The sequence below is a fragment of the Homo sapiens genome, chromosome 3 (assembly GCF_000001405.40).
Source record: "Homo sapiens chromosome 3, GRCh38.p14 Primary Assembly".
In the NCBI taxonomy this organism is placed as follows: domain Eukaryota; kingdom Metazoa; phylum Chordata; class Mammalia; order Primates; family Hominidae; genus Homo; species Homo sapiens.
Genome location: NC_000003.12, coordinates 23,841,965 through 23,858,691, shown reverse-complemented (window position 1 = coordinate 23,858,691; position 16,727 = coordinate 23,841,965). Strand labels below are relative to the sequence as shown.

The 16,727-nt window shown below is 39.6% G+C and overlaps 1 protein-coding gene across 4 annotated transcripts in view, besides 1 other annotated feature; it reads right to left on the bottom strand.

Moving 5' to 3' along the window:
• The window catches only part of UBE2E1 (ubiquitin conjugating enzyme E2 E1), an 85,686-nt gene that overhangs the window by 32,949 nt on the left and 36,010 nt on the right, over nucleotides 1–16,727 (bottom strand). The gene's annotated exons all lie outside the window — the stretch shown is intronic.
• Nucleotides 1,075–1,204: an enhancer, noted in NCBI's record as "active region_19605". NCBI's record gives its function as "activates an Ori minimal core promoter by ATAC-STARR-seq in GM12878 lymphoblastoid cells {active_cell/tissue: GM12878}" and the evidence as "EXISTENCE:reporter gene assay evidence [ECO:0000049][PMID:35858748]".

Below are 16,727 nucleotides of genomic sequence, written 5' to 3'. Positions count from 1 at the left end.
AGCATTACATTTTTTTCATAAATTTTAATTTACTCAATATAAAGGTTTGTCTTCCATTGTCATAAAGTTCCTGGCCGGGCGCAGTGGGTCACTCCTGTAATCCTAGCACTTTGGGAGGCCAAGGTGGGTGGATCATCTGAGGTCAGGAGTTCAAGACCAGCCTGACCAACATGGCGAAATCCTGTCTCTACAAAAAATACAAAAATCAGCTGGGCGTGGTGGTGCATGCCTGTAATCCCAGCTACTCGGGAGGCTGAGGCAGGAGAATTGCTTGAACCCAGGAGGCAGAGGTTGCAGTGAGCCGAGATCATGCCATTGCACTCCAGCCTGGATGACAGAGCGAGACTCCATCTCAAAAAACAAATAATAAACTTCTTCATATTTTGTGATTAAAAAGTATCCTCCCTTTTATAAAATGCTGACGACAGTAAACAATGACTTTTTTTCAATGTCCTTGCAAAACAAAATAAAATTAGTAGCCCTATGTCTGCCCTCTGCATTGAAATCCAGAATTTACACTGTAGGTAACAGCTTCTATAGCCCCAAGTGGTATCTGCCATAGAGCCTTCGCAGGGAAAGCGCCTGAGGTTTAACTAGCTCAGTACCTCTCAACTGTCCTCAGGCTCCCAGCCTCTTAAGAAAGACTAGCTAAGGTCAGCCAGGCCAATATGGTGAAACCCCATCTCCAATAAAAATACAAAAATTAGCCAGGCACGGTGGCATGAACCTGGGTGACAGAGGTTGAACCTGGGTGACAGAGGTTGCAGTGAGCCGAGATCGCACCACTGCACTCCAGCCTGGGCAACGGAGCGAGACTCTGTCTCAAAACAAAACAAACAAAAAAGACTAGCTAAGGTCATTGCTACCATCTCATAGCCTACTGGCACCTCTGTCACTCAGACTCATTCCTGAGGAGCACACGCTGGGAACCATTTCCATAAGCACAGAAGGTTCATAAAGAGGCAGAGCACAACAGCTCTTGGAGTTGCCCACAGACAGCTTCCAAACCACAAGCAAGTCCTATCTCACCAGGCTGACACCACACCAATGAGACAAATCCTTCACAAGTGGCAGGAGAAGTGAAACTTCTGTATGTCAGACTATTTCCTAAATAAATTCAGTGTAACGTGACTCGACAGGCATACATCTCCAGTCTGACAGGCAACCCAAAAGTGTATGTTTTGGAAAATAACATCTTAAAAGTACTGAATGTGTTCTTTATAAGGACTTCTCAGTTGTCTTGGTATTCCTTGCTACCTCAACTTCAATTCTTCCCACATGAAAATTTCTATTTTCACTCCTCTCTTCTTTCATTTCACAAAAATGTGTGCTTCTTTCTAAGATAAACATGTGGTCTTTACCTAATTCCTCTTTTACTTTAACAGTGAATAGAACACTTGGTTACAAAAAGTTCAAACTTTCCTATGCAGAAAGAAAAAAAAAACCACCAGACTCTAAAACATACTCCTGAACACCTCTACCCCTCCAGGCTGCTGGGCCAGCTTTCTCCTGCCCTTCAGTGCCAATTTCCTGATGCTTCTCCTAAATACACACAGATCCCTCTACATGTGATTCAGTCCTACTTTACCTCAACATTCCACAGTAAACTAGTCTCAAAAGTCACCAAAGACCTGCCAGGCTCAAAATTAAATGGCATTTCTCATTCTCTCTCTTTTTTTTTTTTTTTTTTAAGAGACAGCCTAGCTCTGTCACCCAGGCCGAGTGCAGTGTTGTGATCACAGCGCACTGCAACCTCAAAATCCGGGACTTAAGTGATCCTCCTGCCTCAGCTTGCCAAACTGCTAGGATTATTGAGGTGATCGGCTGCACTCAACTCCATTTTTTTCATCAGCCTTTTTGTCAAGGACTGATGAGCCCTGCCTTCTGGAAACATTCTTGATAATCATGACATTAATTTTCTGATTCCCCTCTAACCTCTGAACTCCCCTCTCACTTTTCTAAAGCGCTTTCTTTTCCTGCTAATCTGTCAGGGCCCAGAAACAAATCAACAGGAGTTCCCATTGGAGTGGTATGAAAAGAGAGATGCATTTCAGGGAAGGGTTTAGATACGTGAGGTCCATAGTGGCTTTACTAAGCATTAATGGGTGATGAAAGGGAGAAAGCAAAGTCACAATCCGATACAAATCTAGAAGAAAATCTTAGTTTGTTGATTTAACAGTTGTTGGTCCTTGGCAATGTACCAGGAAAATAATGCCTTACTACAAAGCAATGACTTCCAAACCATACTCCAGATGGGGAGAGAAGGCTAATGTTTTAAACGTCTGTCTTCCCTGAAATCTGTTTTAAGAAAGGGTTAACACTGCTTTTTAAAGCTTTAAAAGTACACTTAACAGTATGATATAAGAAACCACAGCTGGGCTCATGCCTGTAATCCCAGCATTTTGGGAGGCCAAGGTGGGTGGATCACAAGGTCAGGAGTTTGAGACCAGCCTGGCCAATATGGTGAAACCCTGTCTCTACTAAAAATACAAAAAAAATTAGCAAGGCATGGTGGTACCTGCCTGTAATCCCAGTTACTCGGGAGGCTGAGGCAGGAGAATTGCTTGAACCCAGGAGGTGGAGGTTGCAGTGAGCCGAGATCATGCCACTGCACTCTGGGCTACAGAGCGAGACTCTGTCTCAAAAAAAGAAAAGAAAAGAAAAACCACACAGGGAACTTAAAAAATCTGAACAGCATGCAAATTCCAGTTCAGTCCTCAGTTTCCTCATCTGGAAAACACAGCTAATGCTATTCCACATACCACACCTCACGGAACTGAACCTTGAAGGAAATAAGCTATGTAAGTGCCTTTAAGCCCTAAAGCACTACTTCTTTTTTTTATTTTTTATTTTTATTTTTTTGAGACGGAGTCTTACTCTGTCGCCCAGGCTGGAGTGCAGTGGCATGATCTTGGCTCACTGCAAGCTCCGCCTCCCGGGTTCACGCCATTCTCCTGCCTCAGCCTCCTGAGTAGCTGGGACTACAGGCGCCCACCACCACGCCCAGCTAATTTTTTTGTATTTTTAGTAGAGACGGGGTTTCATCATGTTAGCCAGGATGGTCTCGATCTCCTGACCTCGTGATCCGCCCACCTCGGCCTCCCAAAGTGCTGGGATTACAGGTGTGAGCCACCGCGCCCGGCCTAAAGCACTATTTCTATGCATACAATTATTTTTAAGGAACAAGTGCTAACTCTTCCAAAGAAATAATGACTGCTTAACTATGTATTAATAACGGCTGTCACAAAAATCTAAAGCTATATTTTTGCTTTCCAATAATCAACAGTTAGTCTTTTCACTTTAAAGGTTAAAATTAACATAGTAAAATCCCATATAACTAATGAAGGTATTATAATGAAATGAAACAATATGAAAATTAACGTATCAAGATGTACTAATTTAATAAAATTGAAAAATTAAAACATAAACTAGTAAGAATGGTAGAAGTGTTTCCTAGAGAAGGTTGTGTATTTGTGTCCCTTAGTTAACCAATAAGAAGGAAAAAGACACTTTTGAGATCTACCTACTTAAACCCAAAGACTGCTTTTAATAAATGTTTTAATTTCACCACTACATAATGAACTCTCTATTTTTGGATTAAACACATCCCTGAAATGAGTTGAATCTCTAAGTTGAAAAACATTTCTCATTTTAATTCAAAGATACTGTCTCTCACAAAATAATTACGGCTCTAAAGTAATAAAAAATTACACTTGAGAATCCTAACCTGTCAGTGGACAATCTGCCTTTTGAAGCCTCTATATGCACTGAATTCTCCCATAAAATACCAACAAGTTTGTCAAGTGAATAATTAATCTATATCTTCATTAAAAGCAGACATTTAAAGATATGCTTCTCAGTGAATTCTCATGTAACCTTAGGACTTAAATTCAGCCTTCCACAAAACAGTATCATAATCCTACGTATTTAACAGAATTTCTTTAAAGCCACAAGGAGCTGCTACTTCCAAGAGCACACACAAAAGTTATTGTCCTTTTACTGTCCATTAATAAGACAGAGCCTAATGTATTTGTAACTCCTACATATTAAAAATTTATTCAAGAAGACTAATAGCTTATTAGTTAGGGCTTTTTCTGTTACAAGTATAGATACCTGACTCAAAAGAGCCTGGGCCAAAAGATAAACTGGCCCACATCATCAAAAAGGCCATGAGAAGGCTTCAGGCCAAGGATGGACCCGAAGGGACAGACAGTGTCATTAAGAGTTTCTCACTAACCCCTCAATTTTGGGTTGACTTCATTTTGAGACTGGCTCTCCACATAGGATAGCTTGGAAAAGATAATATATCTCAGGAAAAGAGGTAAGCTTTAAAAACATCCCTCCCAAATACTTTGGTATATCTCTCATCAGTTCAGATTAAGTTAAATACCCTCTCTGAACCAATCACTGTGGGTAGATGCATAAAGCTTTTTTTTTTTTTTTTTTTTGAGACTGAGTCTCTCTCTGTTGCCCAGGCACAATTTTGGCTCACTGCAACCTCTGCCTCTCAGGTTCAAGCGATTCTCCTGCCTCAGCCTCCCGAGTAGCTGGGACTATAGGCATGCACTACCACAATCGGTTAATTTTTCTATTTTTAGTAGACGTGGGGTTTCGCCATGTTGGCCAGACTGGTCTCAAACTCCTGACCTCAGGTGATCCATGCACCTCGGTCTCCCAAAGTGCTGGGATTACAGGCATGAGCCACCATGCCTGACCAAGATAAAGCATTCTGATGGGCCTGGGCTTGGGTCAGCCTATCACCACTGGAGGGTAAAAAAAGACCCACTTGAACCATGTGGATAAAACGAATTATTATAAAATGAGGAGTGTTGGTACCCCAGGGGGATGTTGGGTGAACAAATAACATATGACCACCACAGATGGTCACTGGGTGGTATCCCTGAAAAACCACCACCAGGAATTTTTGAGCACTGGCAGACTACCAAATGCAAAACCTGTACAAAGCAAGACTACAGGTGTACATGTAGTTATTTTCACCAATTCACTCATTACCAAGAAACAAGTTAAGAGGGACAAGTGTCTCCTCTCCCCTCCAACTCTCCTATATGCATTTAAAGACTGAATTGTGAACAGAAATGAAGAGACCTAAATTTAACAGCTAAAACCATAAAACTTATATTAAAAAAAAACAACAGAAGAAAAATCTTTGTAATCTTTGGGTAGGCAGATTTCTGAGGAGACAAAAGCATGAATCACACAAGAAAAAACTGACAAACTGGGCTTCATCAAAATTAAAATGCTTGGCTCTTAAACAGACACTAATGATAAACCCACAGCCAACACCATACTTAATGGTGACAAGAAAATGATTTCTGAGGACTAAGATGAGGAACAAGACAAACATGTCCACCCTCACTACTACTTATTTTATTTTTCATTTTTTTCAGAGCAAAAGAACTTGATACCCTTACTACTTCTATTCAATATTTTACTGGAAGTTGTAGCCAGGTGAATTACAGCAAGAAAAAGAAATAAGGCAGCTGGGCGCGGTGGCTCACGCCTGTAATCCCAGCACTCTGGGAGGCCAAGGTGGGCAGATCACCTGAGGTTGGGAGTTCGAGACCAGCCTGACCAACAAAAAATAAAATTAGCTGGGTGTGGTGCCGCATGCCTGTAATCCCAGCTACTTGGGAGGCTGAGGCAGGAGAATCACTTGAACTCAGGAGGCGTAAGTTGTGGTGAGCCGAGATCATGCCATTGCATTCCAGCCTGGGTAACAAGAGTGAAACTCCATCTCAAAACAAAAAAAAAAACAAAACAAAATAAGGCTGGGCATGGTGGCTCATGCCCATAATCCTAGCACTCTGGGACGCCAAGGTGGGAGGATCACTTGAACCCAGGAGTTCGTGACCAGCCTGGGCAACATGGTGAGACCCCTGCTCTACAAAAATACAAAAACCTAGCTGGGTGTGCTGGGTGCAGTGGCACGTGCCTGTAAGTCCCAGCTACTGGGGAGGCTGAGGTGGGAGGATCGCTTGAGCCCAGAAGGTCATGGCTGCACTGAGTTGAGATTGCACCACTGCACTCCAGTCTGGATGACAAAGTGAGACCCTGTCTCAAAAAAAGAAAAAAGAGAAATAAAAAGTATTCAGATTGGAAAAGAAGTAACACGATCTGTATTTGCAGATGACATGATCTTGTAGAGAGAAAACTCAAATCCACTAAAAAGCTCTTAGGACCAATAAACAAGCTGAACAAAGCTGTAGGATACAAAATTAATACACAAAAACCAACCATCGCTATATACTACCCGTGAGTAATCAGAAAATGTAATTTTTAAAAATTCAAATTTACAATAGTATCTGAGTAAAATACATAAGAATAAATTTAACATAAGCATAAAATATGTACACTGCAGACTAAAAACCATCATTGAAATAAATTAAGGGAAATATAAATAACTGAAAAGACATTTAATGTTCATGAATCATGTGTTAGTCCATTTTGTGTTGCTATAAAGGAGTATCTAAGGCTAGGTAATTTATAAAGAAAAAAGGTTTATTTAGCTCATGGTTCTCCAGGTTGTACAAGAAGCATAGTGCCAGCATCTGCTTCTGGTGAGGCCTCAGGAAGCTTCCACTCATGGCAGAAGATGAAGGGAGAGCAGGCATGTGACATGACAGGAAAGGGAGCATGAGAGAGTGGGGAGGTCCCAGACATTGTTTAAACAATGAGATCTTGCATGAACAAAGCAAGTGAAAACTCACTCATTACCGTGAGAGCAGCACCAAGCCATACATGAAGGGTCTGTCCCTGTGACCCAAACACCTCCCACCAGGCCCCACCTCCAATGCTGGGGATCACATTTCAACACAGGATTTGGAGGGGACAAACATCCAAACTGTACAGATCTGAATTTTAATTTTTTTTTTATTTTTTAGAGACAGGGTCTCTGTCACCCAGGCTGAAGTGCAGTGGTGCAATCACTGCAGCCTCGAACTCCTGGGCTCAACTGATCTTCCCACCTCAGCCTCTTGACTAGCTGGCACTACAGATGTGCACCACCATGGCTGGCTTATTTTATTCTTTATAGAGAAGAGGGTCTCACTTTGTTAATCAGGCTCATCTCAAACTCCTGGCCTCAAGTGATCTTTCCACCTTGGTCTCTCAAAGTGCTGGGAATATAGTAGGCATGAGCCACTGTACCCAGCCTAAAATTAATATGGGAATACTTCTCAAACTGGTGTACAGATTCAACATAAACCCTGTAAAAACCCCAGCTGGACTGTTTAAAAAAAAACAAAATGAAAAACAGAAATTGACAAGCGGATCCTAAAATTCATATGGAAATGCAAGGAACATAGAATAGCCAAACAATCTTTAAAAAGAACGAAGCTAGAGGACTTCCTTCTCAATTTCAAAACTTACTATGAAGCCACAGAAATTAAGACATCGTAGTACCAGCAAAAGGATAGATACAAAGATCAATGGAACCTAATTAAGAGCCCAGAAATAAACTCTTACATTTACAGGTAAATTGATTTTTGACAAGAGTGCCAAATCAGCTCAATGGAGACAGAATAGTCTTTTTTATCAAATGGTGTTGGGAACAAAAGAATAGCCACAAACAAAAAAATGAAACTGAACCCTTCTTCACACCACACACAAAAATTAACTCAAAATGGATTACTGATCCAAATCGAAAAACTAAAAGTATGAAACTCTTAGAAGAAAATATAGGAATAGGCTGGGCATGGTGGCTCATGCCTGTAATCCCAGCACTTTGGGAGGCTGAGGCAGGTAAACTGCTTGGGCCCAGGAATTCAAGACCAATCTGGGCAACGGGCAACACGGCAAAACCCTGTCTCTTAAAAAAAAAAAAAAAAAAAAAAAGCTGGGTGTGGTGGCGCACATCTGTAGTCCCTGCTACTGGAGAGGCTGAGGTGGGAGGACTGCTTGAGCCTGAGGCTGCAGACAGCCATGATCATGCCACAGCTCTGGCATGGGTGACAGAAAGAGACCCTATCTCAAAAAAAAAAAAAAAAAAAACAATCAGGTGTGCCGGATGCAGTGGTGCATGCATGTAGTCCCAGCTACTTGGCTGAGGCAGGACCATCACCTGAGCTCAGGAGTTTGAGGCTGCAGTGAGCTAGGATTGCACCACTGCTCTGGTGACTGAACAAGACCCTATCTCAAAAAAAAATAATAATAATAATAAAGAGGAGTAGATAATGGTTTCTTAAATACAATTCCAAAACACATGCAACAAAAGAAAAATAGGTAAACTGGACTTCATTGAAACCACAAACTTTTGTACTGCAAGCAATACCATCAAGAAAATAAAAAGACAACCCACAGACAGGGTAGAAAACACTTGTAAATCATGTATCTAATAAAGTACTTTTATCTGGAATAAAAATAATTTTTAATGGCCAGGCACAGTGGCTCACACGTGTAATCCCAGCACTTTGGGAGGCTGAGGCAGGAGAATCACTTGAGGCCAGGAGTTCAATACCAGCCTGGGCAATATAGTGAAACCTTGTCTTAATAGATTGATATATTAGATAGATAAATAAGAACTTTTAAAATTCAGCCATTAAAAAGCCTGAATTTTATTAATAAAACAGGCAAAATATCTAAAAGACATTTTTCCAATGAGAATATGTCAATTTTGATCCAATGAAGATACCCAATAATCACATGAAAAAGATGTTCAACATCATTGCTATTAGAAAAATACAATTCTGAATGTCATTTTTTAAAAATGAAAATCAAAGACACACCATTGTTGGAGACAGTGTGGCAATTCCTCAAGGATCTAGAGCCAGAAATACCATTTGACCCAGCAATTCCATTACTGGGTATATATCCAAAGGATTATAAATAATTCTACTATAAAGACACTGCACACATACGTTTATTGCAGCACTATTTACAATACCAAAGGCTTGGAACCAACCCAAATTCCCATCAATGATAGACTGGATAAAGAAAACGTGGCACATATACACCATGGAATACTATGCAGCCATAAAAAAGAATCAGTTCATGTTATTTGCAGCAACATGGATGAAGCTGGAAACCATCATCCTCTGCAAATTAACACAGGAACAGAAAACCAAACACTGCATGTTCTCACAAATAAGTGGGAGATGAGCAATGAAAACACATGGACACAGGGAGGGAAACATCACACACTAGGGCCTGTCAGAGGGTGAGGGGTAAGGGGAGGGAGAGCATTAGAACAAACACCTAATGTATGAGGGGCTTAAAACCTAGATGACAGGTTGATAGGTGCAGCAAATCACCATGGCACATGTATACCTATGTAACAAACCTGCACATTCTGCACATGTATCCCAAAACTTAAAGTAAAATTCAAAAAGAAATTTAAAAATTTTTTTAAAAAGAAAGAAAATCAAAGACACAATGAAACAACACTTCACACTCACTAGGCTAACTACAATAAAAACCATGGATAATAGCAAGATGGGAACTGGCTAGATGGGAATGTAAAACAATGCACTTAGGAAAACAGTTTTGCAGCTCCTCAAAATGTTAAACATAATCATTAACATCTGACCCAGCAAAACCACTCCCAGGTTCCTAAAAAAATAAAATAAAATATAGCCATGCAAAAACTTGCACATGAATGTTCATGGCAACATTATTTTAACAGCTGAAGGTGGAAACAACCAAATGTCCACCATATGGATAAACATGGTATATCCCTACAATGAAATATGTATTATTCAGCCATAAAAAGAAATCAAGTACTGATACATGACACAACATGGATGAACCTTGAGAACACTGTACTAAGTGAAAGAAGCCACTCACTAAAGACCACATGAACTCATGGTCTTCACTGCTTATTAGGCCCCCTTGGCTTACCAACACCTCTCCCCCTTTGATTCCAGTTAGGACTTTCTTGCTAATGCTATTCCCTCTTCCTTTCTTAGATGCCCTCCCTTTTGGCCTTCTGTTTAAATTCTTTCCTAATCTCTCTATATTCTTCTATGAAGTTTTCCCCAACCAAACCACTTGATTTCTCCCATATCTGAACTGTCAGGGTAGTTACTGATTATATCACATTATGTGGGCATTTAAGTATATTGTATTTTTTTTTCTAAAATTGTGATTATCTTCCTCCAAGCTTATTAAGCATAAGGACATATTTGGGTAAGAGAACGTGATGGAAACTAACATTTACTAAGTACCTGCTTAGCTAAAGTTTTTTGTTTTTTGTTTTTTTTTTTTTGAGACAGAGTCTCACTCTGCTACGCAGGCTGGAGTGCAGGGGCACGATCTCAGCTCACTGCAACCTCCATCTTCCGAGTTCAGGTGATTCTCCTGCCTCAGCATCCCAAGAAGGTGGAATTACAAGCATGTGGCCACCACACCCAGCTAATTTTTGTATTTTTAAGAGAGACAAGGTTTCATCATGTTGGCCAGGCTGGTCTCAAACTCCTGACCTCAAGTGATCCATCCGCCTTGGCCTCCCAAAGTGCTGTGATTACAGGCATCAGCTATTACGCCCAGCCTAGATATTTAATATACGTTTTTCCTTAAAGCAAGTTACTTTAAACTCTGAGCCTGACTTTCTTCATTTGTAAATAAGGAAATTACTGCACAGGTTTATTGTGAAAACACTGGGGAAAGTCCAAGATATCTGAAGTTAAAAAACCAAGGTACAGAACAGTGTTTACAGCAAGTTACCATTTGTGTTTATTTAAAAAAGGAGGTAGGGGAAAGGGGTGTATAATCTATTATTATAGATTAAGTATATCTAAAGTAATTCACACAGGATGCACAAGAAACTGATAACAGCTATTGCCTTTGGGGCTGGAAATGGGAAAACTTACTTTTTCTATATATCCCTTTCTACTGTTTTGAGTTGTCTATCACGTGCATTATTTCCAAATAACAATTTTAAGGCTGAGCATGGTGGCTCATGCCTGTAATCCCAGCACTTTGGGAGGCCGAGGTGGGTGGATCACGAGGTCAGAAGATCGAGACCATCCTGGCTAACACGGTGAAACCCCGTCTCTAATAAAAATTAGAAAAAATTAGCCGAGTGTGGTGGTGGGCACCTGTAGTCCCAGCTACTCGGGAGGCTGAGGCAAGAGAATGGCATGAACCTGGGAGACGGAGCTTGCAGTGAGCTGAGATCGCACCACTGCACTCCAGCCTGGGTGACAGAGCGAGACTCTGTCTCAAAAAAAAAAAAAAAAAAAAAAAATTTAAAGTACATGTACACACACAGATATGAAATATATTTTTAAAACTATTAATACCACAGGGTATTTCTACCCTTAAGGGTGTAAAAATAAGCTTCATTTCAGTCATAGTTATCATACTAATGTTTATCACCTTTTTTCTTTGAAAATGCTCTTTTCACTACGTACTACTGATGTCATGACATTAATGGATGTCTTCTTTTCATCTAGGAAGTTAAAAGACTTATCTACCCTTTATATTAAAAGTACTATATGTGACTGGTGTATAAGATCACTACATGTCCTGGTTTGCCCAAGACAATCTTGGTTTATGCCTACTGCCCTGATGTAATTATTAGTAATTATATGATCGCCCTACTGATGAACCAAAGGGAAAATAAGTCTATTCTTCTTATAACATCAATCAAAGACCATTCCATCAAATTTAGGGATAAACTATATTCTTTTGTACAATGAATTCCTCTTTGGTGAGTTTCAAGAATTAGCTTATCTTCTTAAAACGTGTAATAACATGATTAACATATTGACCTCGCACAGCCTACCTGGCCCCTGCCCTTAGAATATTTCAAGATAGCAGCTATTTATTCATCTTGATAAATCGATTTAAAAAGAAAAAAAAAAGTAGCTAAACACCTAGCTATTTTTACTATAGGCAGTTAAAAAGACTGTTTCTCTATGTCCCATCTTTAACAATTCCATCTCAAATGGTATACTCCAAGACTTATTAAATACAGCTTAAACATTCCATTTTCCATCTCTATTACCCATTCCCTTTTTTTTTTTTTTTTTTTTGATGAGATGGAGTCTCGCTCTGTCGCCCAGGCTGCAGTGCAGTGGCACGATCTCAGCTCACTGCAGCCTCCGCCCCCTGGGTTCAAGTGATTGCCGGGCCTCAGCCTCCCGAGTAGCTGGGACCACAGGCATGTGCCACCATACCCGGATAAATTTTGTATTTTTAGTAAAGATGGGGTTTCACCATGTTGGCCAGCTGGTTTCAAACTCCTGACCTCAGGTGATCTGCCCACCTCGGCCTCCCAAAGTGCTGGGATTACAGGTGCAAGCCACTGCACCTGGCCCCATTCTCTTTTTTAAGAGACTGTGGCCTTGCCATGTTGCCCAGGCTGAACTCAAACTCCTAGCCTCAAGCAATCCTCCTACCTCAAGCCTCCCAAGTAGCTAGGACTACAGGAATGGGCCACTGCACCCAGCTCTATTACCCACTCTTGAATAGGCTTAAAAGGAATTTAAAAAACCAAATGTTTCAACATTACATTTACCTTAAACTAGATTTATGTAAGACATTTATTTAATTATCCCTTCCTGACCATTAAGAACTACTTTCTCTTACAGGTACTGAAAATTCATGTTACTGATGTAAGAACTTTTCCCAAATAATACAGAGAATGACAGTTAACTATCAGATAAGCTAGGGCACTGGTTTGAAAACCTTAGTTGCCTAAGGAGCAAGAGTTGGCAAACTATGACTCACATGGGCCAAATCAGGCCCTCAACCTGTTTCTGTTTGGTCTACTAGTTAAGAAAGGTTTTCACATTTTTAAGTGATTAAAAAAATCTAAAGAAAACTAGTATTTTATGACACGTGAAAACTATTAATAAATTTTATATTGAATTATTAAATTGAAATCGGTGTCCGTAATAAAGCTGTATTGGAACACAACCACATTTTTTCATTTATGAATTGTATATGGCTGCTTTTGTACTATGGGTAGAGTTGAACGGTTCTAACAGAGATCAAATGGCCTATGACGCCTAGAATATTTACTACTTGGACTTCTGCTAAATAACTTTGCCAAACTCCACCCTAGAGAGGTTTTGTTTAAAAAGAAAAATTATATATATACATACACACACATACACACACACACACACACACACACACAGAGAGAGAGAGAGAGAGAGAGAGAGAGAAACCAAAACAGTGGGGAGATGGACAAAAGAGGAATTTCCATTTTTAACAACTGCCTCAAGTAATTCTGATACAGACAATATATTCAGAAAACACTGATCTACACTCTACTCCTACATATGCTTAGAAAAAGGGAATTGTCATGTGGCTTACAATTTCATTGCTAAATAAAATGGGGGCAACTTGGTAAACAGAGGCTTTCTTCCTTCTATCAAGAGAGTATATATGTGCATAGCCAATTCAGCCTCCCCACTCCTGAAGAGTGTGCAATGCATTCTGCCAGACACACAGATCTTGAGGTAAAAAGAAGAAAATATCCTGTCCATTAAGAAGAAAATTTTAATTTCACATAAAATTTGCTTTAGTTTATTGTCAAGATTTGTGATTTTGAAGCTACACTTAGGAAATCCTTCCTGGCCTGTGGGTCGCATTTTCTTTCTTCATTGTATAGTTTTAAAATTTCACATGTGAGCTTTTAATCTACCTAGTCTACCTTCATATATGGTATTAAGTAGGAATCCGGTTTTATTTACCTCCTTGTGGTGAGTCAATTTCCCTATACCATCTATGAACAATCCCATCTTGTCCTCAGTGTTTGGTGCTGCCATAAATTATATATTATATATTAAAATCCTACATATACACATGTCCATCTCTGGGTGCTCCAAGTCAGCTTCATTGGTCTGTTTACCTTACCACAGGGCTACGGTAATAAATACAGTGTAGTATTATTGGAGCACGTCTTCATATCTGGGAGAGCAACAACCCATCTCCCACGCATAACACCTAAGACTGACCTACATGTTCATGAACATATTCTCCATATGTAAGTGTAGAGTATGATTGGCAAAAATTAGAAAATCAGAACGCACCTAAGAGGACACAGGAATTCTCATGCTCTGCTACTGGTGGGCATGGAGATGAGTACAGCCATTCTGGGGAACAATCTGGTACAACTTAAGTCAAATCAAATTTAAGTAAGCCCTATGATCCCCTTGCAGTTCTGCTTAATTCTTACAGAGGTCCAAAAAAGATTACGGACCAGAATGTTCACTGTTAGTGGGGATGGAGAGCTGGAAACGATCTGGTCTTCTATAAGATAAAATGAGTATACCCCTTGGAATACTATGTGGCTGTTCAACGCAATGAATTAGATGCTTGCATAGCAACAGGGAGAGAGCTTAAAACATTGTGCTTAGAAAAATGTAAGAAAGAATTAGGCATCATTTATGTAAGTTAAAAATACAAACACTAAATACATTTTACAAGAACACAAACAATATAGTGAAAGGCATTAGAATGGGTGCTTTTGGGGCAGAAGTAGAAAATGAGGATAAAATAGAATAAAATAAACAAGCAGGAAAGAGGAGAAAAAGGAATCAACCTTTACTGGGGGAAGGGGAGGGCTCACAAACACTAGGCTAGCTAGCTGTAGCCTGCGCCTTAGAGACTACTCACAAACCCCACCCACATGGCTCTCCCACAAATTATTTTTACATACTCCCATTTTACATATGAGTTGCCTTCATTAAAGGAGCCCTAAGAGCATAAAAAATTACACATGGTGGAAGAAATATCAAGAAGATATCGTTAAGTCAGTACAACTGCAGGATAAAGATGGCAATATCTGTAACTCGGGCAACCAGAAAAAAATACATTAAAGAGATAAAAATATAAAAACACAGGAAAAGCATTTGGGTGAAAGAAGAATTAAGTTTTAAGTTTTGGACACAGTTTGTTGTTAATTTTCACTGTTTGGCTGAAAATACTGACTCCAGAAGGCAGTCAAGAATAGCTAGAATACATCTGAGGGTCATTTGGATTGTCATTGTCCAAACTGCCACACAGTTGTTAAAGATGACACTGGTATGGAAGATGCTTGTGAAGCTAATGATGTGGGATGCTCTGGGGGAGTTGGAAGGGTGCTGGTTCAAAACAAAACAACCAATAGGAAGCAGGGGAGAAATGACTGTGGAAGGTGAGAGTGGAGTAGGCAAATTATTATAGATCTCATTTATTGAAAGTTGATTATGTGTAACATAAGCTAAATACTTAATTGTGTGTTCAAATGCCACTATATTCTAACAGCAGTAGGTGCCAAAGACTTAAGACATTTATGCAGCAAGCAAACTCAGAACTGAGAAAATCTATATTATCATTATGTGAATGGTGTGCCACAGTTGTGCAACTCAATGGTCCTGACTCATAAAACATTGTGCACAGTTCCGAATGTCAACAAATATTTAACACATATTATATGCTAAGCAATATGTTAGGAACTGTATGTCCTGCAGTCAACAAGACTGGCATTAACCTCGATTATACAAACTAAGTCCAGGTATTATGGTAACCTAATGGTCTTGCCTCTGTCCCTGTCACTACTCTCAACAAAACTTAGTCTGGGGGGACAGATGGCTTCCCAAAGAAAGTCCATTTTAATCTGAAAAAAATTGTCCTTGAACTATGCTCCTGCTAAAAAAAAAAAAAGCTTTAAGCCAAATAATCATACTATATACTACTATAATATATATTTTTATATGTAACTGTAACATATATAGTATATATGCTATGCCACAGTATAATAGCACATGGGATATTTTATGGTATAAAGTTATACCATAACTACCATAATCATGCTACTATAGGGTTCTTTATTCAAATAAAACAAGCCCTTGCCCTCAGAGGTTATAGTTAGATTACAGAGATATGGAAAATTTGATCTTTTGAACATCTATTCCAGAAGACTCAAAGTTATTATTGTTTATTCCATTTACTGTTGTACAATTAGAAATCTTTATTCCCTCAAAAAGTATAAAAACTTATGTGTGACTTCAAAAACCAAAATTAAAATTTTTAAAAACCGAATAGCGCACTTGTAATTTGTGATAATGAGATTTTACGTCACAAAAAATGCTGTTCAGTGTTGACACAGAGGTATGAGACTCCGACTTATTTCCTCAAGCTATGAATTCAGCTTACATAACAAAAGGAGGCCTTGAAATATCTTGCCTTATTATCTCACTTAGGATGACAAAGTTTAGTGATATTTATAGCAAATGATAATAAAATAAAAAGGTATATTCTTCAAAGAAAAACGAACAACAGGCCGGGCAACATGGCACGACTCCGTCTCCACAAAAAAATAGAAAAATTAGCTGGGAATCGTGGCATGTGCCTGTCATCCCAGCTACTCAGGAGGCGAGGTGGGAGGACTGCCTGAGCCCATGAGGTTGAGGCTGCAGTGAGTCGTGACTGCACCACTGCATCCCAGCCTAGGCGACGAATTGAGACCCTGTCGCCAACAACAACAACACCACACACACACACACACACACACACACACACACACACACACACACACACACCCCTTCACTTACTGGGTCATGACATAGTTCAATCTTTCTTCTTACCTGATCCTAACATCTGAGATTCCACTGCCCATTATAGTCAAACCAAAAGTTACACCACATTTACTTTCACCTAGTTACAATAAAGGTTTTAAGGTAAATGCATTTTCTGATTCAGTGTAACAATCACTAGGATAATCAAAGTACTAAATCATGTACCTCAAGTTTTTTGTAAAAGATTATCCCATTTTG